This window comes from Homo sapiens, chromosome 2 (genome assembly GCF_000001405.40).
Source record: "Homo sapiens chromosome 2, GRCh38.p14 Primary Assembly".
NCBI lineage: Eukaryota > Metazoa > Chordata > Mammalia > Primates > Hominidae > Homo > Homo sapiens.
Genome location: NC_000002.12, coordinates 71,390,105 through 71,415,518, shown reverse-complemented (window position 1 = coordinate 71,415,518; position 25,414 = coordinate 71,390,105). Strand labels below are relative to the sequence as shown.

The 25,414-nt window shown below is 37.1% G+C and overlaps 1 protein-coding gene across 4 annotated transcripts in view; it reads right to left on the bottom strand.

Annotated features, from left to right (window-relative positions):
• Positions 1-25,414, bottom strand: part of ZNF638 (zinc finger protein 638) — a 103,280-nt gene that overhangs the window by 19,543 nt on the left and 58,323 nt on the right. For all 4 annotated transcript variants that reach the window (NM_014497.5, NM_001252613.2, NM_001252612.2 and 1 more), the window contains exons 11-20: positions 19,328-19,378; positions 16,747-16,818; positions 15,874-15,960; positions 15,339-15,407; positions 15,001-15,041; positions 13,432-13,563; positions 11,521-11,649; positions 9,877-9,918; positions 9,257-9,391; positions 7,272-7,397 (exon numbers count right to left, since the gene is read on the bottom strand). In NM_014497.5, coding sequence (NP_055312.2) covers positions 7,272-7,397; positions 9,257-9,391; positions 9,877-9,918; positions 11,521-11,649; positions 13,432-13,563; positions 15,001-15,041; positions 15,339-15,407; positions 15,874-15,960; positions 16,747-16,818; positions 19,328-19,378 — 884 coding nt within the window. The remainder of the gene's footprint in view (positions 1-7,271; positions 7,398-9,256; positions 9,392-9,876; positions 9,919-11,520; positions 11,650-13,431; positions 13,564-15,000; positions 15,042-15,338; positions 15,408-15,873; positions 15,961-16,746; positions 16,819-19,327; positions 19,379-25,414) is intronic.

The following is a 25,414-nucleotide window of genomic DNA, read 5'->3' as shown; positions in this document are numbered from 1 at the left end:
ATGACAGGATCAAATTCACACATAACAATATTAACTTTAAATATAAATGGACTAAATTCTGCAATTAAAAGACACAGACTGGCAAGTTGGATAAAGAGTCAAGACCCATCAGTGTGCTGTATTCAGGAAACCCATCTCACGTGCAGAGACACACATAGGCTCAAAATAAAAGGATGGAGGAAGATCTACCAAGCCAATGGAAAACAAAAAAAGGCAGGGGTTGCAATCCTAGTCTCTGATAAAACAGACTTTAAACCAACAAAGATCAAAAGAGACAAAGAAGGCCATTACATAATGGTAAAGGGATCAATTCAACAAGAGGAGCTAACTATCCTAAATATTTATGCACCCAATACAGGAGCACCCAGATTCATAAAGCAAGTCCTCAGTGACCTACAAAGAGACTTAGACTCCCACACATTAATAATGGGAGACTTTAACACCCCACTGTCAACATTAGACAGATCAACGAGACAGAAAGTCAACAAGGACACCCAGGAATTGAACTCAGCTCTGCACCAAGCAGACCTAATAGACATCTACAGAACTCTCCACCCCAAATCAACAGAATATACATTTTTTTCAGCACCACAGCACACCTATTCCAAAATTGACCACATAGTTGGAAGTAAAGCTCTCCTCAGCAAATGTAAAAGAACAGAAATTATAACAAACTATCTCTCAGACCACAGTGCAATCAAACTAGAACTCAGGATTAAGAATCTCACTCAAAACCGCTCAACTACATGGAAACTGAACAACCTGCTCCTGAATGACTACTGGGTACATAACGAAATGAAGGCACAAATAAAGATGTTCTTTGAAACCAACGAGAACAAAGACACCACATACCAGAATCTCTGGGACGCATTCAAAGCAGTGTGTAGAGGGAAATTTATAGCACTAAACGCCTACAAGAGAAAGCAGGAAAGATCCAAAATTGACACCCTAACATCACAATTAAAAGAACTAGAAAAGCAAGAGCAAACACATTCAAAAGCTGGCAGAAGGCAAGAAATAACTAAAATCAGAGCAGAACTGAAGGAAATAGAGACACAAAAAACCCTTCAAAAAATCAATGAATCCAGGAGCTGGTTTTTTGAAAGGATCAACAAAATTGATAGACCGCTAGCAAGACTAATAAAGAAAAAAAGAGAGAAGAATCAAATAGACACAATAAAAAATGATAAAGGGGATATCACCACCGATCCCACAGAAATACAAACTACCATCAGAGAATACTACAAACACCTCTACGCAAATAAACTAGAAAATCTAGAAGAAATGGATACATTCCTGGACACATACACTCTCCCAAGACTAAACCAGGAAGAAGTTGAATCTCTGAATAGACCAATAACAGGCTCTGAAATTGTGGCAATAATCAATAGTTTACCAAACAAAGAGTCCAGGACCAGATGGATTCACAGCCGAATTCTACCAGAGGTACAAGGAGGAACTGGTACCATTCCTTCTGAAACTATTCCAATCAACAGAAAAAGAGGGAATCCTCCCTAACTCATTTTATGAGGCCAGCATCATTCTGATACCAAAGCCGGGCAGAGACACAACCAAAAAAGAGAATTTTAGACCAATATCCTTGATGAACATTGATGCAAAAATCCTCAATAAAATACTGGCAAACCGAATCCAGCAGCACATCAAAAAGCTTATCCACCATGATCAAGTGGGCTTCATCCCTGGGATGCAAGGCTGGTTCAATATACTCAAATCAATAAATGTAATCCAGCATATAAACAGAGCCAAAGACAAAAACCACATGATTATCTCAATAGATGCAGAAAAAGCCTTTGACAAAATTCAACAACCCTTCATGCTAAAAACTCTCAATAAATTAGGTATTGATGGGACGTATTTCAAAATAATAAGAGCTATCTATGACAAACCCACAGCCAATATCATACTGAATGGGCAAAAACTGGAAGCATTCCCTTTGAAAACTGGCACAAGACAGGGATGCCCTCTCTCACCGCTCCTATTCAACATAGTGTTGGAAGTTCTGGCCAGGGCAATCAGGCAGGAGAAGGAAATAAAGGGTATTCAATTAGGAAAAGAGGAAGTCAAATTGTCCCTGTTTGCAGACGACATGATTGTTTATCTAGAAAACCCCATCGTCTCAGCCCAAAATCTCCTTAAGCTGATAAGCAACTTCAGCAAAGTCTCAGGATACAAAATCAATGTACAAAAATCACAAGCATTCTTATACACCAACAACAGACAAACAGAGAGCCAAATCATGAGTGAACTCCCATTCACAATTGCTTCAAACAGAATAAAATACCTAGGAATCCAACTTACAAGGGATGTGAAGGACCTCTTCAAGGAGAACTACAAACCACTGCTCAAGGAAATAAAAGAGGACACAAACAAATGGAAGAACATTCCATGCTCATGGGTAGGAAGAATCAATATCGTGAAAATGGCCATACTGCCCAAGGTAATTTACAGATTCAATGCCATCCCCATCAAGCTACCAATGACTTTCTTCACAGAATTGGAAAAAACTACTTTAAAGTTCATATGGAACCAAAAAAGAGCCCGCATCGCCAAGGCAATCCTAAGCCAAAAGAACAAAGCTGGAGGCATCACACTACCTGACTTCAAACTATACTACAAGGCTACAGTAACCAAAACAGCATGGTATTGGTACCAAAACAGAGATATAGATCAATGGAACAGAACAGAGCCCTCAGAAATAATGCCGCATATCTACAACTATCTGATCTTTGACAAACCTGAGAAAAACAAGCAATGGGGAAAGGATTCCCTATTTAATAAATGGTGCTGGGAAAACTGGCTAGCCATATGTAGAAAGCTGAAACTGGATCCCTTCCTTACACCTTATACAAAAATCAATTCAAAATGGATTAAAGATTTAAACGTTAGACCTAAAACCATAAAAACCCTAGAAGAAAACCTAGGCATTACCATTCAGGACATAGGCGTGGGCAAGGACTTCATGTCCAAAACACCAAAAGCAATGGCAACAAAAGCCAAAATTGACAAATGGGATCTAATTAAACTAAAGAGCTTCTGCACAGCAAAAGAAACTACCATCAGAGTGAACAGGCAACCTACAACATGGGAGAAAATTTTCGCAACCTACTCATCTGACAAAGGGCTAATATCCAGAATCTACAATGAACTCAAACAAATTTACAAGAAAAAAACAAACAACCCCATCAAAAAGTGGGCGAAGGACATGAACAGACACTTCTCAAAAGAAGACATTTATGCAGCCAAAAGACACATGAAGAAATGCTCATCATCACTGGCCATCAGAGAAATGCAAATCAAAACCACTATGAGATATCATCTCACACCAGTTAGAATGGCAATCATTAAAAAGTCAGGAAACAACCGGTGCTGGAGAGGATGTGGAGAAATAGGAACACTTTTACACTGTTGGTGGGACTGTAAACTAGTTCAACCATTGTGGAAGTCAGTGTGGTGATTCCTCAGGGATCTAGAACTAGAAATAACATTTGACCCAGCCATCCCATTACTGGGTATATACCCAAAGGACTATAAATCATGCTGCTATAAAGACACATGCACACGTATGTTTATTGCGGCACTATTCACAATAGCAAAGACTTGGAACCAACCCAAATGTCCAACAATGATAGACTGGATTAAGAAAATGTGGCACATATACACCATGGAATACTATGCAGCCATAAAAAATGATGAGTTCATGTCCTTTGTAGGGACATGGATGAAATTGGAAACCATCATTCTCAGTAAACTATCGCAAGAACAAAAAACCAAACACCGCATATTCTCACTCATAGGTGGGAATTGAACAATGAGATCACATGGACACAGGAAGGGGAATATCACACTCTGGGGACTGTGGTGGGGTCAGGGGAGGGGGGAGGGATAGCATTGGGAGATATACCTAATGCTAGATGACACGTTAGTGGGTGCAGCGCACCAGCATGGCACATGTATACATATGTAACTAACCTGCACAATGTGCACATGTACCCTAAAACTTAGAGTATAATAAAAAAAAAAAAATTAAAAATAAAAAATAAAAAATAAATAAAAAAAATAAAAAACTCAAAAGAACATCCTCAGAAAAATTCAAGAGAATACAGCATCTATGAAATCAGTGCTGGTATTATTTCCAGAAAAACAGAATATTAAAAATTGAAGGAAATAAATCAAAAAATAATAATAGAAAAACTTCCCTGGGGCCAGGCATGGTGGCTAATCCCTGTAATCCCAGCACTTTGGAAGGCTGAGGCAGGCAGATCATGAGGTCAGGAGTTCGAGACCAGCCTGACCAGCATGGTGAAACCCCATTTCTACTAAAAATACAAAAAAAATTAGTGGGCATGGTAGGGCGTGCCTGTAGTCCCAGCTACTCGGAAGGCTGAGGCAGGAGAATTGCTTGAACTCGGCAGGTGGAGGCTGCAGTGAGCCGAGGTCACGCCACTGCACTCCAGCCTGGACAACAGAGCCAGGCTCCATCTCGACAAAAAAAAAAAAAAAAAAAAGGGGGGGGGAGGTGGTGGGTGGGGAGAAAAACTTCCTGCTCTAAAAGCAGGATGCAGGAAATGAGTCCCAAACCAAGAAAAAACCTTACTCACTGGACTAGCAATACCAACCCTCTCTTTAGAAATTCTGGAATCACCAAGTATGTCCCTAAAGCCTTTGATCTGGTTCTTCTGCCTAAAAATCTCCCCTTGAAATTTTCTTAGAGCTTGCTCTCTTCCATCAGGTCTCTCAAATAACTCTTCTGCTGAGGGACTATCACTGACCACTTTAAGATACACATTCCCCACATTAATCATTCTCTTTTTATCTCAATTTATTTATTCACAGTCTTTTTACCACTTTTATATCTGTTTATAGTCTATCTCCTCCACTAAAATATAATCCTTGAGAACTAGGACATTGAAACAATGTTCATCATGGTATTCTAATACCTAAAATAGTGTTAGCATAGAGAAAAGGAATTAGATAAATATTAGTTTAGGGCCAAGCACAGTGGTTCACACCTGTAACTCCAACACTTTGGAAGGCCCAGGGTGGAGGAGCACTTCAGGCCAGAAGTTTGAGACCAGCCTGGGCAACACAATGAGACCCCATCTACACACACACACACACAAAAAAAAAATCAAAAATCAAATAAAATAAAGTTAGCCGGGCATGGTGGCATGCCCCTATAGTCTACTCTGGAGGCTGAAGTGAGAGGATCGCTTAAGCCCAGGAGTTAAGGTTTAAATCATGTGGGCCATGATTGAACCATGGCACTCCAGCCCAGGTGACAGAGTTAAGACTTCGTCTTTAAAACAAACAAACAGAAAAACAAACTAGTTTAAAGAATTAATAATATAAATCCTAAAACCTTTCAGAGGAACAAAATAGTTTTGATCTAAATCAGACTTCTCCTCAATAATACTGGATTCTGGATGCTAAAAACAATCAAAGGAAAAATAGCCTAAGCACAGAATTTTACATCTAGACAATCAATCAATGAAATACGTAAGAGCAAAATAAAGTCAGTTTCAAACATGCAGAATTTCAGAAAATGTACTGCCTCCACATACTTTCTGGGGTAAAAAAAATACTTGAGAATGTACTCTAGCAAACAGAAAAACCACCTGTGACGTGACAGAATCCAAGAAAAAACAGACATGACTCAGAAAAACAATGAAAGAAAACCAAAGGTGTATATAATTGGTCGACAAAGCAAATGACCCTAAATTTAGAAAAGAGTCACAAGAATAGCTCTGAAAGGAGACTCCATTCAACAAATAGTAATTAAGTTACACAGATGATCACAGTAACATGAAGACTGTCATTTTTCCCCCTTTCAACAAGATACAAACCCTAAACCATACAAGAAAACCATAATCTACCTACTTATGAAAATGAAAATGTGGCGCCATTTTGAGAAATGACTGGGAATATAAGAAACTCACCTGTGAGTGTAGAGGTTATGGACACACATATTGCCTTCTTTATAAACCCATTCTCATTATTACTTAATTCTGCAGTAAATATCTTCATAATCATGATACCAAAAATGCAGCTACTAGTTTTCAGTATTTAGAATGGAGTGCTACATGCTTTGTATACAAGCTAACTATAGATATTGAAATAAAGGTCACACATACTACACAAAGAAGTAACATTTCAGTCTAACAAAAACAGTAAGTGTTGAAGAGAAGATAATATAGAGTTGATTATTAACTCATTTTAAATAGTAGTCAATTAAAAACTGTTACAAATAAGCCATATGTGTTATCCAACTTAAACTATACGAATAAGGTTCTGGGTAAGCACTTAGGAAGTGAAGTACCAATTCAGGCAGAAGTTTATGTAAATTTTCACTTCTTTAATTTTCTTTTAACTCTAAGAATTTGGGACTATATTTCTGGGATAAGGATTTCTGTACAGTCAGTGTTTAATTTTGAATTTAGTTGAACACAACTGAATAACAGCTTGAAAAATATAAATGACAACTTTTTAAAAATGCATGTTCTGCTGAGGAATAGCTAAAAACTTTTATATATTTTTTTCTGAAATTATCAAGTGAAATGAGCCACTCATTTGTGCTTAAACTGGTACCTATCATAATACATTTACTTAAAGATACTCTAATTTAGATTTAGATGATGAAATTGCCTTTTTCTTTAGATAGTGCAAGATTTTTAACAGATTGACAACACAAGGACACCACATATAAGGTCCTATTACTTACCTCTGATATCAGCATACAATGGAATAGAAGGAGAAAATAGATTGAGTTTGAATTTAATGCTTTCAAAGGTGGACTATCCATAGCTTTCCTACATGTACTACTGTGTAGGCCAAGAACCTGTGAAATCTTATTTCTTAACACAAAAACAGTTTATAATAAATGTAACTGAAACAAAAAGAAGAATAAAACAAACTTCTTTCTACCCAGAGGAAGCCAAAATGGATTCAAAGTAGCTGCATTCTGGAGACAATCATGTTACATACAAAGAGTCACTATACACAAAAATGTAGATACCTACATGTCAACAGTAAGTATTCAAAAATGCATATATGTTACATTGTTGAAAATTTCTTTATTCTCATTTAGACAAATTTATACTGCTTTATAAACTATGAAAATTGGAACACTGATTGCAACACAAATTATAAAAATCATCTCTAAACACAGAAACAGTTTGACTACTACCTGAGAATGACCTTTATGTTCTCTGTATTTTCTAAAATCACAAAAGCTGAAGAAAGATAAATCTTACCTCTGGTAAGTCTATCTTTGGAGATAATGAGCAGGTCAACATATGGTCACCAATATTTTGTGGATTTTGTTTCAGAAAGCTATACATTGACTGAGCAGATTCAGGACTATCTAACTGAAGAATTGCCTTTGGAGAAGATTAAAAAGTTATGAATAGTTCTTTAAAAAAATTGGAATTAGAATAACCACATAATCCAACAATTCCACTTTTTAGTATACACCTAAAAGGAATGAAAGCCGATACTTAAACATGTATTTGTACACCCATGTTCACAGAAGCATTATTCACAACAGACAAAGGGAGAAGCAACCCAACTGTCCATCAATGGATGAGTGGATATAAAAATGTGTTACATGCGTAAAACAGAATTATTACTCAGCTTTAAAAATGAAGAAAAATCTGACACATGCTGCAACATGGATGAACCTTAGAGACATTATACTAAGTGACATGAGCCAGTCACAAAAAAGCAAATATAATTCCACATACATGAGGTAACTAAATTTATAAAAACAGAAATAATGGTTGATAAGGGCTGAATTAATGGCGAGTTATTGTCAAAAGGATAGAAAACTTCAGTTTGAGGAGACAAAAGTTCACAAATGGATGGTGGTGATGGTTGCACAATGTGAAGGTGCTGAATATCAGTGAACAAACACTTAAACATGATTAAAATGTTAAATTTATGTCTTACAAACGGTAAAATTTGTGTATTTTACTACAATAAAAATGTTTTTAATTGTTTTAAAAGTTTGGAATATATTCTTCTTTCAGGTTTCAGATATATGACTACAAAGGTAAGGTTAATCCTTATTTAAAGGAAACAAGAGAAAACAATCCTTAAAATGTTGTAAAGCCAAGGCAAAACTGAAGAGAATGATAGGTATTCTTTTAAATAGAGGATTAAAAATGTTTACAAGAAAGGTTCAGAATTCCTATGTGCCATCTGTGCCCCACCTTCCATTCTATGTCACACTATTTATCATATTCCATTCTATGCTCTATTTATCAGAAGCATATCAAAGAAATTATCTAGTTGTTGGTTAATTAAGTGCTTTTTATGAATATTGTCCACTTTTATGTAAAACCCTGCCTTTCTAGGTAATATATGGCTGATAAAAATTTAATTTTAATGAACATGTAGCTGAAATACATATTAAATACAGAAGGCATACCAAATGTAAATAAATGAATAATTTTTGGTTAAGAGGCCAAATCATGAAAGTAAGGAATGATTACTTTATTTTTGAGACAGGGTCTCGCTATGTTACCCAGGCTGGAGTGTGGTGGCGTGAACACAGCTCACTACAGCCTCCAACTCCTGGGCTCAAACCATCCTCCTGCCTCAGCCTCCCAGGCAGCTGGGACCAGAGGCACACGTCACCATGCCCAGCTAATTTTTAAACTTTTTGTAGAGACGACATCCCACTATGTTGCCCAGGCTGGTCTCAAACTCCTGGGCTCAAGCAATCCCCTCGCCTCAGCCTCCCAAAGTGCTGGGATTACAGGGGTGAGCCACTGCATCCAGCAATTATTTTATCTCTCTCTTTCCATATAAACAAACAAATAGACCTAACTCAGGTGTTTCATAGCTGGAAGGGACTTAAAGAAATATTGGGTAATACCCCTTTCATTTTACAAGTAAGTGTAAACCAACTTAGCCAAGACCACAAAGATAGTTAAAATCAGAGCCAAAGGAACTCAGGTCTAAACTTCCCAGTAAGATAATGCTGTCTACACTATATTACCTTTCCCCCTTGCGTAAGTCTTATTTTTCCTTAAAAACTAGGAGTTCTGAAAAAAGAGAGGTCATCTCTTCTTTCTCGGCCCAGTCCAAAATAAAATATTCTGGTTTATAATAATTCTGCGAAGTGGTTGAGTAATATTTACAGGTGCTTCAGATCAGAAGTTGCAGATTGTCAGAATACAGGGTTATTATACATTCTTTACAGAATGAATAGCTAAATTATGAGGGAACTTGTTACCTTGTTTCTATTACTTATGAATACATGGTGATCCACTTTTCCAAACTGAAGTCCAACACAAAGTACACACTGAAGTCCATCTTCCGGTAAATTATCAAGATGTACAAATCGATCATAAATTGTATCTATGTTTGCCTGTAGTTTTTTAAGAGACAGCACAGAAAAAACCACAGCTGAAGCAACAAACGGTAAAACAGATTAACATTAACTTACTATTACAGAGGTCAGATGATGTTCTCTCCCAAGAGTAAGAAAATGACTACATGGGGGAAGACAGTGAGGTCTTAATTTTACGTACGAGTAATCAGTAAAATGACGTACTAAAATGGGAAGTATAATATTTCTACTATCAACATAACGTTTACCCAAAACATCCTCAGACAAGATATTGACCTATTAGACCACTTAATATGCACTCCAGTACCTGAAAAATTTTTTCGCATCAAGTACTACAAGAAACCTTTATTTTTTTATTGTTACCAAGAAGACCCATCTGACATCTCCATCACCTCAATATCTTAAAATTAGTTCTAAGGTTTTAATTCCTAAAAGGCAAACAAGTAAAACAATGTTTCCATCAATTAAATAAGTATACAAAAGCATTTAAATGCAAAACTTACCTCTGGGTCATTTTCTTTTACCAAGGTTATAAATATAGCTTCCTAAAAAGCAAAAATAGATAAAGGTTGATGGTATAAGCTCTTTCTCATACAAATACTTACTTAGTTAAGATTTATAACATGACAATCTATACAAATATGCATTACAAAGTATTTTATAAAATTAAGAAGCAGCAAGATTTACATTCTTTCCAAAAATCTTTCTCTCCTAAACAAGCCTCATTCTAACCCATACAATTTAATTCTTCTTATTCCCCTAAGAATATAAAAGACTAATAAGATAGTACCATTTAGAAAAGACATTCAAATTCACAGAAGGAATAGAGATTTAATTTAGACAACAGGAAGAGAATTCAAATTACAAAAGAAAAGTTAACTAAGCAAAGTAGGAGATGAGAAAGAACAGAAATGCAGGCAAATAAAACAGCACAGAGCATAAATGCAGATTTGATGCTACTGAATTATGAAGAGGCCAAGAACATCAGGGAACAAGGATATCAAAGCAGGCAGAGGACAACTAATGGAAGGCTTTGTGTGCGGCAAAGGAACTTGGACTTTATAAGACTGAGGATCCTAAACTTTTTTTTTCTTGTTGATACTACTGGTGTGTATAAAACAATCTTGCCAATTACATCACATTAGAGTGATTCTTAATGAAAGGTATTTTTACATTACATGCATTTCTACCTGCCTCTAGAAAGGATATAATATTTCTACCTCATGTGATGCATACAATATTTCTACCTCATGCTTCTTAGCAGTTGACAGTAAATGTTTATAGGTCACATAGAGGCACTGAAGGGTGTGTACATGAGATAAAAGCTGAGAACTCAAAGGAGTTTTATAAAACTGAAGGTAGCGTGTATGTACAAAAGACAATTACTTTTGTATATACAAAAGGTCCAGGAGGAGGTCTGTTTGTTTTAGAGACTAGGTCTCCCTCTGTCACCCAGGCTGAAGTTCAGTGGTAAAATCACAGCTCAGTGCAGCCTCAAACTCCTAGGCTCAAGGGATCCTCCTACCTCAGCATCCTGAGGAGCTGGGACCACGGGTGTGCGCCTTCAGGCCCAGCTAATTATTTTAAGTTTTGTAGGCATGGGGTCTCACTTTGTTGCCCAGGCTGGTCTTGGGTCCTGAAGTCCTGGGCTCACACAGTCCTCCCACCTCAGCCTCTCAAAGTGCTGGGATCACCAGCGTGAGCCACCATACCTGGACCAGTAAGAGTTTTTAAGAGATAAAGCAATGGTATATGGGATGAGGAAGAGGGAACAAGCTCACTGAGTTAAACAAGATTTACAAGGAACTAAATTTAAGAAATGAGAGAAAAAAAATTAAAGATAACTTCCAGAATTCTAGTTTAGATGACAGATAATGGCAGAAAGATAAGAGAGAAACCTGTCTTTAGACAAAATGCAACCTTTTTTCCATCCCAACATACATGAAGAATAGGATTCCCTCACTATGAAAGTAACTCTCAAACAGTGGGATGGGTGACTGGGTGATTGTTGGAGGGACAGGAAGAAGCTTTCTCAGTGTCTGTGAGAAAAATGTGAACCAAAGTGGAAAACTAGAAAACATAACAGACTGTAACAAATCTGATTTAAAAACTTAGTAAGAGCTAGTAAAAATGGTGGTCTGATTTACCTCATCTTTTATATTCATGTTTTCAGGAGCCATACTTATTGAGAGTTGATTTCCATCCATCAATACTGGGAAGCAGGTATAAAATTTTACCATAGACTCAGCAGCTTTTCTATTTATTTCTATATATGCCTTTTAAAACAGAAATTAAGGTAACAAGAAAAATCTTATGTTACTTTTTCTCAAAAACAGACTTGCAAGTATAAACAAACTACTTCAAACGTCAAGTGGATTGAACAACTTAGTAAATATTTTAAAGATAAAAAAATGCAGTCCTCAGAAAATTGAGGCCCAAAGACTAAGAATATTACAACCATAAGCAAGAAATAAAGAATGAATAAACTTACTATACTAAGGCAAACTAAAGAGAGAAAAAAGAAGAGACATTCTAGCCACTGACATTAAGAAAAATCTTATTCAAACTGTATCCTTAGTACATAGAGCAGTATCTGGCATGTAGCAGATATATTTCTAATCAATATTAGTATTTCTTGAGTAAATAAATTGATAAAATATGAGAAATATGAGACATGAAAAAACCAAAGAAACGTGTAACAATTGTGAAGTCATTTTTCATTTTGTTATTTTCATAGGTGTAAAACTGTAGCTCCATACATTTTGCTTTTAATTTTCACACCTTGGTAAGTAAAGAGGTTGAAACTTCTTCCATATATTTGATAGTTAATGAGGTAGAAAGCTGTATGTTTGCTTACAGTTGTAAGCCTATTTGAAATGAATTATCTCTTAAGGTTGTTTATCTATTTATTGTAGTTTTAATGTTACAGCATAATGTAGATGTGAATCCTGTTCCCTTTTTTAAACAAATACTCTTAGTTTTTAAATTTTCATTTTATGTTAATTTTAATTTCATAAATGTTTAAAGTATTTTCATTAAGTCTCCAAATATTTTAATAATTTTACTCAACTCCACTCAAAACTGGGCACATAACTTAGGTTTAAAGTTCAACCACTGTACACAATGCAATGGGTTTTAGTGTATTTACTGAGCTCTGCGATCATTCAAATAATCTACTTTTAACATAATGTGAAATTACACATAACTCACCTGTACTCACTCTCTTCTACCATTTTCTAAAGCAAATTGGCTCGGAGTGCCTCAAAACATATATCCTATTCTACTTTCAAAGATCTCTAGTGACTACCAACTCCTCTCTAACGTAAGAACACTTCTTCCCACTATTCTAATGGTGTCATTTCCATGATTTAAACTATTTCCTGAAATCTCGCTCAATTAAACATACTTTCTACAAGTTGATTATTAACATACATTTTAATGTGTTGTTTTAAAAATACAAAGCCAACAGATGCTTATAGAAAATTTAGAACATAAAGATAAACCTAGATTGTTTTAAGTATTGATGACATCATTAGTCTGAGTCTGAAAATGGTTACTTCCCATTTGAGTATCACTGATAAGAGCAGAAAGAGTATGAAATACAAGTAGAAGAATGATCTACGAATCTTATAAATATAGCTTCCTAAAAAGCCAAAATAGATAAAGGCTGCTGGTGTAAGTTCTTTCTCATATATATACTTATGTATTAAACATATTAAAGATATAAAACATTTCCTACTATTAAACATATTAACATAACATAGTAAAAGATATATTTATTAAACATATTGAAGATATAAAACGTTTCCTATTAAACTAAAATTTTGAGTAGAACTTTGACATATTAGAAAGCCATTTGTCCCCATCATTAAAACTATGTCTCGTTACAACAATACTAAAATACAGGATATCTGTGTTTTATATTTTAAAATCCCTTAGCTTGAAAGTTTACTTTGAGATACTGCTTTTAAACCTTTTCTTTTTAGTTTTGTAAATTTAATGTTTTTCAAAGCATGCATGCTTGCAGAGGATATGAACAGCTATTAATCAACTCTTACCTTTTTATGAGATGATAAAATCAAGATATCCTTTAAACCACCAAATGGTTTTGCTAAGTCATAAACTTCTTCTACAGAATATCCTTTATTAGGCAAATTAGAGACAAGCATCACACACATTTCTTCTGTTTCCTTCAAAACAAATTTTTAAAACCTGTTATTAAAATTTCTTTGTTTCATATTTACTTAAGTTTATACTGTGTATCATGTTATATTAGTATATTGTTGCATTTAATACTGAGGAAAGTCTGATAAACTCAAGAGGCTGGTCTGAACCTCAAATTAAAAAGAAAAGCAAAAAAGCTTGCAAATTTACACTCTTCAAGAGTACAGACTAATTGTAGTTATACCATCTGTCATCTAGTCGAGGTCTGCTGGACTCTTTTTCACCCACTGTTTTTTTTTTTTAGTCTTGCTCTGTTGCCCAGGCTGGAGTGCAGTGGTACAACCTCGGCTCACTGCAAGCTCTGTCTCCCAGGTTCAAGTGATTCTTGTGTCTCAGCCACCCAAGCAGCTGTCACCCACTGTTTTAAAACACAAGTTCATTTGTTTTTGGCTACAACTGCTTCCTTTCATATACTGTCGCCATCCCTGTGCCTTGTGATAATATCCCCAAGCTCCAAATCAGTGTGTATCCTTTTATCTTCCTGAATAAGATAATCACTTAGGCAATACATAATAAAAAAGCTCCTGAGAATCTTTACCCCACAACCCAATCCTCAATGCAATTAAGCACTTTTGTTTTCTGCCATCCCTTCTCTCAGATCCATTTTATTCTTCAAGGTAACTCTCTCATCAATGCCAATTACTCCTTTCATGCTTACTGGGAAAATTTCTAAAGATGATGTGCTATAGTCAACTTGGCAATTTTTGATATCTAGGGGGAAAAAAAGGCAGGAAGTTACAATCTTCATAAACCAGTTTAGTGTGACTTTACACTAAATTGGTGCTATAAAATACTCTTCCTAAAATAAGACTTACTACTTAGTTACTACTTGAAGAATGGATCTACTAGACAAAAACTTATGCTCAACACCTGAAGGATCTAAAAACCTGCACCAGTAAAATGTAAATTAATGATTGTAATGTATTAATAATAATAGATATAAACATAAGAAAACAATATATTAAGTGAACTTCATGTCCTTTAAACTGCAAACTCCACTTGCTTCCCCATAAATGCAAACAACTGGTATTCTAACCATTAACATATCTCCCATTTACCTCTAAGAAAAAAATAGACTTCACAAAATTCTACTGATTCTAATTTAACCAACTACTGTCTACCCAAAACCCATTTTGGCAAATGAAAAGTAATCTTCAAAAAACATGTACATTTGTTGATGATCTGTTCCTACTTTTTGTGACTTACTCTGCACCTCAGGGTTTTTGAGCTAAAATCACATTTTTTTCTCTTTTCCTTTCTAAAAATCATGTTTTAAAAGTCACAAATGACTGGAATTTCTCACATGCCAAATACCATGAATTTTTTACCTGGGTTTATAAGAAAAATATCTTTTGTTAAAATGTCTTGAGCTTTAAAGAAATAAATAAAACATGAAAACTGACCTTGTTAAGTGGTTCATTCTCTGTGGCCTCCAAAGCAGCATCTTAATACAAAATAAAATTAAAAACAATGCAGACATACTTATCAAGATCCTACTTTATTCCACAATAGGTTAAACAGTAGCTACATGAAAACGTGTAATACAACAAGTCTAGAGAATTAGTACAAAATGACTACAAAAGTGACATTGGCTTTTAAAAAATACATTTAAATTTCATTCTGAGATCAAAATTTCAGATTAAGAGATAAAGACATGAATCGTAATACTCTTAATTTCACTTAGGTATGGCATTGGTAATTAAAATAAGTAAAGAACAAAATAAAATTTCTATTGACCTACCAGAAATAGCTTCTTTAGCACAGTTTTCAGTGGCTTTGACTTCAATACTGGTCTTTATTTCAGAGTTTTCTGCATGAAATAGTCTGCTTTAATAGTCTAGTAAAACACTAATATAATTAAACTAATGAATCTAAACAGGAACTTAAGCTAGTTTGACATTTCAAGTCTCCTTAGGCTGACCTGACATAAGCCAAACATCTCTCTTTGAAAAACAAAAGACAGCAATCCCCACTTTGATAATTTTTAGGCAAAATTTCAAAATATACCTTAAAGATGATCTAAAGAAAATAAATGGACCCATAGAGGGAAACAACACACTGGGGCCTATTGGAAGGTGGAGGATGGGACGAAGGAGAGGATCAGGAAAAATAACTAATGGGTCCTAGGCTTAATATCTGGGTGATGAAATAACCTGTACAACAAACCCCCATGACACGTTTACCTATGTAAGAAACCTGCACATGTACCCCTGAACTTAAAAAGTTAAAAAAAAGAAAAGAAAACAAAGCACTGAATGACCACATTTCAAGCTTACCTGGTATAGTCACAGGTTTGTTAGAGTCTTTGTTTTTGACATTCCCAGTCTTTTTGGCTTCTAGAGACTTCTTTCCACCAGATTTTGCTTGTAAAAGTACAGTCAGCCATTATTCTAAAGGTCTTGTTAAATCATTTAGCATGTTTCACACTAATGTATTAGTAAATTAGTTTGACTTTATTACAAAAGCAGCTCTTTTCCACATAGTCATTATTTCTATTTATTTTCAGTACCTCTTTCCCAGTAAGATTAAAAGCAAATTTAAATCAAGATACAACTTTTTGGTGATGCCGTCAAATGAGCCACATGTTTAACCTTCATGTGGCAGACCAACATTGTAATCACACACACGCAAAAATAATACTGTGTAATTTCTGCAAAGATTCTTTAGAATTAGTCTGTTAGGAAAGGTACTACTAAAAAGATTGCTCTAGTTGCAAGGTGCTAAATTTATTTTAAATAGTGTTCCATTTCTTTATGAAAAAAAATGAATTCTCCTAACATCCTTTTTAAAAGTAACAAGCATCTAAGAAACTGTACAAACTGGAGAGGGCAATATGAATTGACAACTCTAAAAAAAGCGAAGGAAACAAAGATTAAACCATTTATGGAGGGAAACGACAGAGCAACCTGTGATTACAAAGCTGTCAAAAATGTACAGTTATATAGCTTTATATATATGTGATTGTTTACATGCACAAAAATATATCTGCCTATCTGCCAAAGATAAAATTCCAACAAAATGGGTCAGGTTTTAAATATCAAGGAAATATCTACTAAACTCTTCAAGTATTAGATGCTAAAAATTATTATACGAATTTAAAACATAAATAAAGAATAAACAATAAAATCTCTCCTCCCCAATAGTCTTACCTGTTTTGATTGAAGCTTTATTACCTTTAACAGCTACCGTTACCACAGATTTTACAGAACTTGCTGATTTCCCTAAATCACAAAAGATGCAGTCAAAACTGGTTTACTTAACTAGTATCAACAATCTCCAAAGAACCTCACAGAGAAAAAGATGTAAGAATAATAGGCTGTGTTTTATTCAAAACATAAAATGCTATCATCTTTGGGGACATAGGCCATTTTCTAAATCTAGCAATGATGATAATTTCTTCAGAAAAAAGAAATCACTGAAATAAGATATTTACCTCCCTACTGGGGTATAGGTCAAACATCCCTAAACTGAAAATCCAAAATCTGAAATGTTCCAAAACCTGAAACCCCGAGTGCTGCTGACATGACACCACAAGAGGGAAATTCCCATGTAAGTACTTAAAAAAAACTGTTTCATGCACAAAATTATTTAAAACACTGTATAAAATTGCCTTCAGGCTATGTATATAAGGTGTATATGAAACATAAATGAATTTCACGTTTAGACTTGGCTCCCATCCCCCAGATATTTCATTATATATATGCAAATATTCCAAAATCTGAAAAAAAATCCAAAATCTAAAACACTTCTGCTCCCAACCATTTTGGATAAGGGATACTCAACCTGTACTTAAAATAGCATTCATGCAAGTTAAATAAATTTCTGAATGTGTGGATCAACTAGAAGCAAAATTACTAATTCCAAGGACACAAAAACAATCCCATACTTTGAGCAGTTCCAAAAGCAGTTAAACCTAGATCCTCCCAACCCACACTTCCACGGCTCCTAATTGATTAGAAAGCATTCAAGAATACTTATATCATAGTCAGGTCATATAAAGATTGTTTTGACTCATTCCTACAGTTTCCTAGCTGTACAGTACTATTTAAATTGCTCTGACCATTATTTGTACCTACATTATCTATTACTATGGCCTATTTTCCAAGATGATACTGTTTATAAAGATGTGATCATGAAAGTGTTGCAGAAGATCATCAGAGAGCCCAAACCCTTTCCACCATTCAGAGAGCAACAGAAGATTTAACTTCGAAATTAGGATTCATAACAACTAGCGAGAATGGATGAGGAAAAAGCCCAAGATAAAAAATCAATAGATCTAAATTGAATTCCAATTTTTATTGAGAAGCTTTGGGGCACGAACAGATTTGTGTACACATTTCCCTATACATAAGGGTGGTGATTGCCAAAATTACCTAACAGGAACGTTATGAGAATACAATCATACTTTTAAAAATCATACAAAAAGCATTCATTGACATCTAAAAAAATCAACTGAAAGTTTACAAATCCACCCTTTATAGTCAAGACAGTCCATAATCTTTGCTCAAAAAGAGCAATACAAATCCTTATAGCTTGTCACGTAACTTGTCATTCACGACTTTTGCCACACTGCAGTAAACTGAGCCTCAGTGAGCCCTTAAGATATTTCTTTCACTATCCCTATGTTATTATCACAAATCACTTCTATCTGGGTACTGGGACTTAAGGAAAAAATAAAAAATAGCTGGCATTAATTTCCAGCAAGTAAAGGGGTGGCCATCAGCTTAATCCCAGTCTACCACATCCCCAATGACTCCCATACACTTGGTATCAAAGTAACATCAAAGTGTTGGCAAAATAAATGCAGCTTCAAGACAAGTTTCCTAGCCACCCATAACCCACTCAAATTACTGCTTCTATGAAACTACTATATGAAAATTCTGGATCTGCCACTAATAATGATTTTTGCCAGTTCCAGGCTGTTTCCTTTCCTTTTTAACATTATATGAAAGATTATTTGTTTGTTTATTTATTTGAGACAGAGTCTCACTCTGTCCCCTAGGCTGGAGTGCAGTGGCAAGATCTCAGCTCACTGCAACTTCCACCTCCCGGGTTCAAGCGATTCTCCTGCCCCAGCCTTCCCAGTAGCTGAGATTACAGGCGTGCATCACTGGTGCCTGGCTAGTTTTTTTGTATTTTCAGTAGAGACAGAATTTCACCTCGTTGGCCAAGCTGGACTTAACTCCTGACTTCAGGTGATCCACCCTCTTCGGTCTCCCAAAGTGATGGGATTATAGGCGTGAGCCACCATGCCTGGCTTGAAAGATAATTTAATACATTGATTTCTATCCACTTAAAGAGATGACCCTGAATTAATCAGGATTTAGCAGAACTGGGAGAAAAACTGGAAAGGATTATGCCAGGGAAAAGAGAAAAAACTTAATAATTACCTAAAATCCCACTATAGCTCACAAAAACTACAAAGGATCATATTTATTGAACTATTATATAAAAGTAAGGAAGAAGAGAGACCTCAATAAAAGAGAAAGAGGAAAATATGTGATACTCATCATAAGAAATTTCTCCAGTTAATTATTTCAATAATTACTATAGAAGCATTATCTAGTACATATCATTTCTCAAAATTGCTAGATGATTATAAATCTCAAAGATTAGCATGCATTCAATACAGACTATGTCATGTGAAATCCAAGACTACTACTGCCATACGATTTTAAAATACATTAAAGTTTTAACTAATAGTCTAGAATCCTAATTAAAAAAACATACCTGTAGATTTGTTTACTTTGGCTACAGATGCCTTGGCTTGTCCAGTTTTGGCTAAAACAACAAGAAAAACATTTAAGTACTACATTACAAATAACATCACTTGGATTTAGTTAAAAGTCAACCTAGCAATAATTTCGAAAGAACCCTGCAAGAAACAGCCCTATACTCATCTTTGTATGTCCATGGAATTACTATGGGGGCAAATTCTTAGATATGGACTTGATGTATCAAAAGGCATACAGATTTAAATTTTAACAAGTAACATTAGACTGACCTTCAGAAAGGCTGAACCAATTAATATTCCCATCAACAGTACATAAGCATAGGAATTATTCCCCATTTCCAAACACACACAATATATCAAGTCAAAATCCTGCCAAGTCTGACCTGCAGACTCAGGCTGAGCGACGGATGAAAAAAGTACACAGACACAGGTATTTTGCATGAGTGCGGCTAGGGGACTGTTCGGCCTTAGAGACACCAAAGAGAGAATGCAGCCCTGATAAGCTGGAGCCGCTTGTATTTATTCAGTACAGATTTAATGACAAAGGCCTGGAGCCAACACAATCTGTAGGTAATTGTCACCCCCACCGCCTTGGGAGCAGTCCTGCGCGCAATAGGATGATCAAAGGTCTGCAAAAGTAAATAAAACTCGTCTAGATAAATTCCTTTACACTCCTTTGTTACCTACTTCTTGCCCTTAGCGTCAGGGTAAGAGAATTTAGCTGCCTTCAGCCTTTATTCTCTCCCGAAGCTTTGCAAAACCTCCTGGACTTCCAAGAAGGTTTGCGTCTCTCCTTATAACTTTTCCCACCACCCTGACTGATCTCCTACATCTCCCCCTTTTGTTTTTTGCATCAGGTTTTGTTGATTGAAGAGTACAGATGTGCACAGCAGCAGGTTTGTCAGGCGTAGCGATTACTGCTCGTATTCCGGCTTTGCATCCTAGAATTAGTAAATAACATAAGACAAACATGAGTATAATTAGTAATATTTTTTTCCAATCAAGGAGTGAGGGTCTATCCAGGAGAGATGTTCTTGCACATCCTTCCATATAACTGTTTGTTGGACATGTAGATCTATGGCGTTTAGGGATTCTAGAATTTTAGTTTTAAGTTGCTTTACGTCTGCTGTTAAATTATCATGTAAGGTCACCCCGAGGTGTTGTTTCACCTCATCCCAACTATGTATTGATTGGTTCCATGGTAGAGAGGTGACACAGATATGCTTATGCTCCCAGTCACAGTTTAATTGCTGTCAGAATGCCAGCGCATCTTGTCACTCCCCTACATGTTCCAAGGCAGCCTCGAGGGCTTGCAGATGTGCAAGAACCTTTTGATTTGTACCCTGCTGTAAGAGAAGTTCATTAGACACATTTCTGGCCAAGTTATCTACAAAAGCAGCTATTTGTACTGATTCAGTAATAGATGCTACAGCAAAACTAGCAGTTGCTAGGATGACTATGGCTGAGACTATAAAGGCTGTAAGATTAACTATGAATCTTTGGTGTCTGACCTGGGACAGGGCATGTTCTAAGGTGGCAAGAGCAAAGGAACCTTGCCAATCGTGTATCAAACTGACTGGTAGGAATGCCTCAGATTGTCTCCTTAATACCATAATACTAGTAATATTTAAATTAGATATATTGTAATTAATGATACATGAGGTGAAGCAAGCCTGTCCTTGCACTCAGGTCACAAACATGGAGTTTTGAGGTGTAATGGAAATACTGGTTCCCATAAGAAAAACATATGGATGGGTAGTGCAAATCAGGCACTGATCTGTGTGATTATGCATAAAGGTCATAGTATAATTGTTACTGGAATTATGTTATGTCCCATGCCAGGTGTTAAGGGTGGTGCTAAGATGTCCCAGATGCCATTAAGTGTCTTGGGGTGGCAAGGACTCTACTTGGGGTCTGGGATATCCCATCCCCCCTTTGGCCCAAATCACAGGGGAACGGACATGGCTATGAAACTAAGATTGACACCACAATGGATGCAAACATCAGTATGGTCGCCCTGTAAATGACCGTGGGGGCTCCAGTCTAAGATGTTAAATTGCCTAACTGGAGACTAAGGGCTTGTCCCCCGTGACAGACCTCCCAACCAAAGTGGAATCCATTACTTTCCTGGCTTTGTTCTTTAGCACAGGGAAGAATGCTGGGGAAAGTGGCACTGATTGCCTTGCCCGGTTTGAGGCTACTGGCACAAGAATGTTAAGGCAATTCCTTTGCCATTTGTAGCCATAATTGTGTTTCGGCAGGTACATAGTAACCTTACACACAGTGGGAAGATAATGGAGTGATATGTAGTGTTACCTGGCACCTTAGTCCAATGTGTGCCATTAATAACGGACCCTACTGGGATAAGTCAATCCCTCCTAGCCAAGCAGTTAACGTTATTAGAGGCTGGGAAGGGGGTGCCTGCCCAGGTAACAGGGCGTAAGAAAGGCGGATCTAACAGATGAGCCCAATAGAGTGTAGCCGGTACGGGTTGCAGGGGAAGCGAGAGCATAAAAAGGATCCTACGTGAGTTGTAACTTACACCAGAGAGCAGAGCAAGGAACAAATTATCTGGAGTGAATGGTTTCTGTGTCTGGAGCAGGATTTGCTCAGCCTTGTAAGTTGTCTTCTTCAGCATCCCCCAGGTAATGTCCGGGGCTTGTGTCGTCTGAGGAAGCTGTGTTGTCTGGAGCTGCGGGTCCTGCAGGATCATTTCCTTCACTTCTGGTACTGTGTTGGGTCCTAGCCACGCCATGGTATGGTCTGATGCATCGTACTGGAATCCAAAGAGGGCCTGAGGGGGGTGTGAACACAAGCATATCATCTTCCCCACGTTAGCAATTCATTTGGACTACACCATACGTTACTATTTACATCTTTCCATAAAACTGCGGGTTTTATGTCTTGAGAGGTTTTAGCAAGGTGCTTTTCTATAGTTGATTGAAATTTATCATTTAAATTTTAGAAATTAAGGGTAAATAACACTTGTGCTAGTAGTGTTGCAGGGTCCTTACTCATTTTCCCCTTTTTGTTTTCTGAGCATATTTTTAAGGGTGGAGTGGGCACGTTCTACTATGGCCTGTCAGTTATACGGGATGCCTGTGGAATGTTGGATGCTCCATGTGTGACAAAATTGTTGAATATGTGAGCTGGCACAGGCCAGATTATTATCAGTTTTAATTTTTGTGGGCCACCCCATAAACGCAAAAGTTAAAAGATGTTTAATGATGTATCGTGTGGACTCTCCAGGAAGAGCATGTGCGCTAATTAGGTAGGAACTGGTATCAATGGATACATGTACATATCTTAGTATTCCAAATTTAGGGACGTGTGTAACATCTGTTGCTATAATGGATAAGGTTCTAGTCCTCTAAGGTTAACACCTGTTCAAGGAAGAGATGTGCCTGTGAGCTGGCAATCTGGGCACTGCAGGATAATTTGTTTACCCAGTCTTTGGGTAAGCTGCTATTGTTAAGTTTCTCTAATTTTGGTGGAAAAACTGAAGCGACTGGGTGGCTTGGTCAAGCAGTGACGTCATAAGCTGCAGGTCTGCTTGATCACTGCCATAAGCCAGTGGGCAAGGCAGTGAGCTGTGTGCTCGAATATGTGTGATAAAACTGTGTATGTTGACCCAGCAATTGCTGAAGTCCAAGAAAAGGTGTACACAGGGTAGGCTCGAGAGTGGACTTAATGAGGGCGGTCTCAAGGTTTTGCAACAAACAAACAGAGTCACTAACAATGTTAATGGGCTGAACGGATTCGGTTTCTAGGGCCAGTACTAGGGCTCCAACCTCAGCTCCCTGAGCGGTAGTAAATCCAGATTGAGTGAGGGAATTATGTGGTTTCCACCAAATAGCCGCTTTTCCATTTTTACCAGAGCCATCAGTAAAAAGCGTTAAAGCTTTAGGTATGAGGGAGTGAACTACTTTTGTTGGCAAAACTAGAGGAGTATGAGATAAGAACTGAAATAGTCTGCCAGCAGGAAGGGCATATTTTATATGGCCTGCATAATCAAAGAGTGCTAATTGAAAATCTAGAGATGGAGCAAGACTACTTCGAATTTCTACTCAAGAAAATTCTTATGACATTCAGGGTCATAACCCAGCCACAGATTGCATCGTCTGCAGCCCATATAGATGACTTTACTAACTAGCTGGATATAGCCAAATAGTGTTTTAGTCCCAGTATGTGAGCAAAAAACACATTCTAGGAAGCGCAGCCCTGTGGCCATCTGTCCTATTAATCCTGTAGAGGAGTGTTTAGCAGGAAAAACAAACAACTGAACTGAATATCGTGGATCTATGCTATCTAGTTGTCTCTGAGAAATAACTTGGTCTATTTCCTCAATTTCCCTTTTTGCTGCGGGGGTTAAATACCTGGGTGAGTCTAGGGCAGCACTGCCTTTTAGGATAGAAAACAGGTTCTGTAATTTATCAGTAGTTATGCCCAAGGTGGGGGGATGCCAGTTAATATCACCCAGTAATTTTTGATAATCATTTAAGGTATGTAAGTTGCTAGTATTTAATTTAACCTTTTGAGGTCTTACTGACCAGGAAGTTAGTATGTACCTAAGATATTTCCAAGGTGAGGACATCTGTACTTTTTCAGGTGCTATGATTAACATCTTAACGACAGAGGCATATAAACTCAAAAGTATTGGCTCTGTTGGGTCTGCTAGTAAAATATCATCTACAAAATGAATAATCTTGCAATTAGGAAATTTTTTTCTACTGGGGAGCAAAGCCTGATTTACATGATGCTGACACATGGTAGGACTGTTCAGCATTCCTTGAGGAAGTACTTTCCAATGAAATTGGCAAGCTGCCCTTTCATTACTGATAGCTAGTATGGTAAATGTAAATTGTTCTCTGCCCTGTTCTGCAAGGGGAATAGTATTAAAGCAGTCTTTTAAGTCAATATCGACTATAGGCCTATCTTGAAGAATTGCCACAGGGGAAGGGAGCCCCGTTGAAGGGGCCCCATAGGTTGCAAACTGCCACTGATAGCCCGTAAGTCATGCAAGTCCCCATTTCCCAGACCTTTTGGGAATGATGAAAATGGGCAAATTCTAAGGGCTGCTTGATGGTTCTATATGGCTGGCTTTTAATTGCTGAACTAACTCATGGGCTCACTGTTATTTCCCTCCCTTTAAAGGCCACTGTGCTACCCAAATTGGATCTTGAGAGAACCACGTCAGGGGTAGGGGAAGAATAACAACAGTGGCCATTATTAGAAAGGGGTTTGCAGCCCCCATTGGGCTAATCGGTCCCGTCCCCAAAGGTTAACAGGGACAGTCATGTTTAGAGTTGCTAACTGTTTTTTCCCTCCAAATCACAACGTTAGGGGGTGTGTGCTCTGCTTGGCTGTGTGCACTTAGCCAGTGCTGACAATTTTTTGTTTCTGAGTGACCCAAGGCCAAGTTTCTGACCAGTTTTGATAACTAATAATCGAAATATTCACCCCTGTATCCTATAAGCCAGTAAAATTCTTATTTCCGATTTTTAAGGTAATCATGGGTCTCTGATCAGTGATTAACTGGTTCCAATACACTCCTACGGCTCCCGTGCTTCCAAAACTTCCCTTCCTCTTTCCCTGGGCATTGGGGACCCAGTACGGTAAGAATAGTAACTGAGCTATTTTAGATTTAGGGGGAAGAATATGCAGACCTTTACACTCCATCATAACTAATACCTCAATCTTGATAATCACTATCAATTACCCTGGTGAGCACATTAATTCCTTTGCTGGATAGGCTTGATCATCCTAGGACCAATCCCACTGTTCTGGAGGCAGTGGGCCCCAGATCCCTGTTGCAATCCTTTTAGGGTCTTCTCCTTTTAGCACTAATTCGTTGGGGCAGAGTAAGCCCAATCCTGCGCTCCCAGAGGTGGCTGTTCTGAGAGAGTGGACTGTGGGCTTTCCAATTGACCGAGGAAAGCCGCTGGCATTGCCCAAGTTTGGAGCAGGGCCTGGGGCTGGCCCCTCATGAAGTTTCCCACCTGATTACTTAGGTGGTTGGCATCTTTATCAAATTTGGACTTGCACTGATTTGCCCAACGTTTCCCCTTTCTACGTCGGGGGCA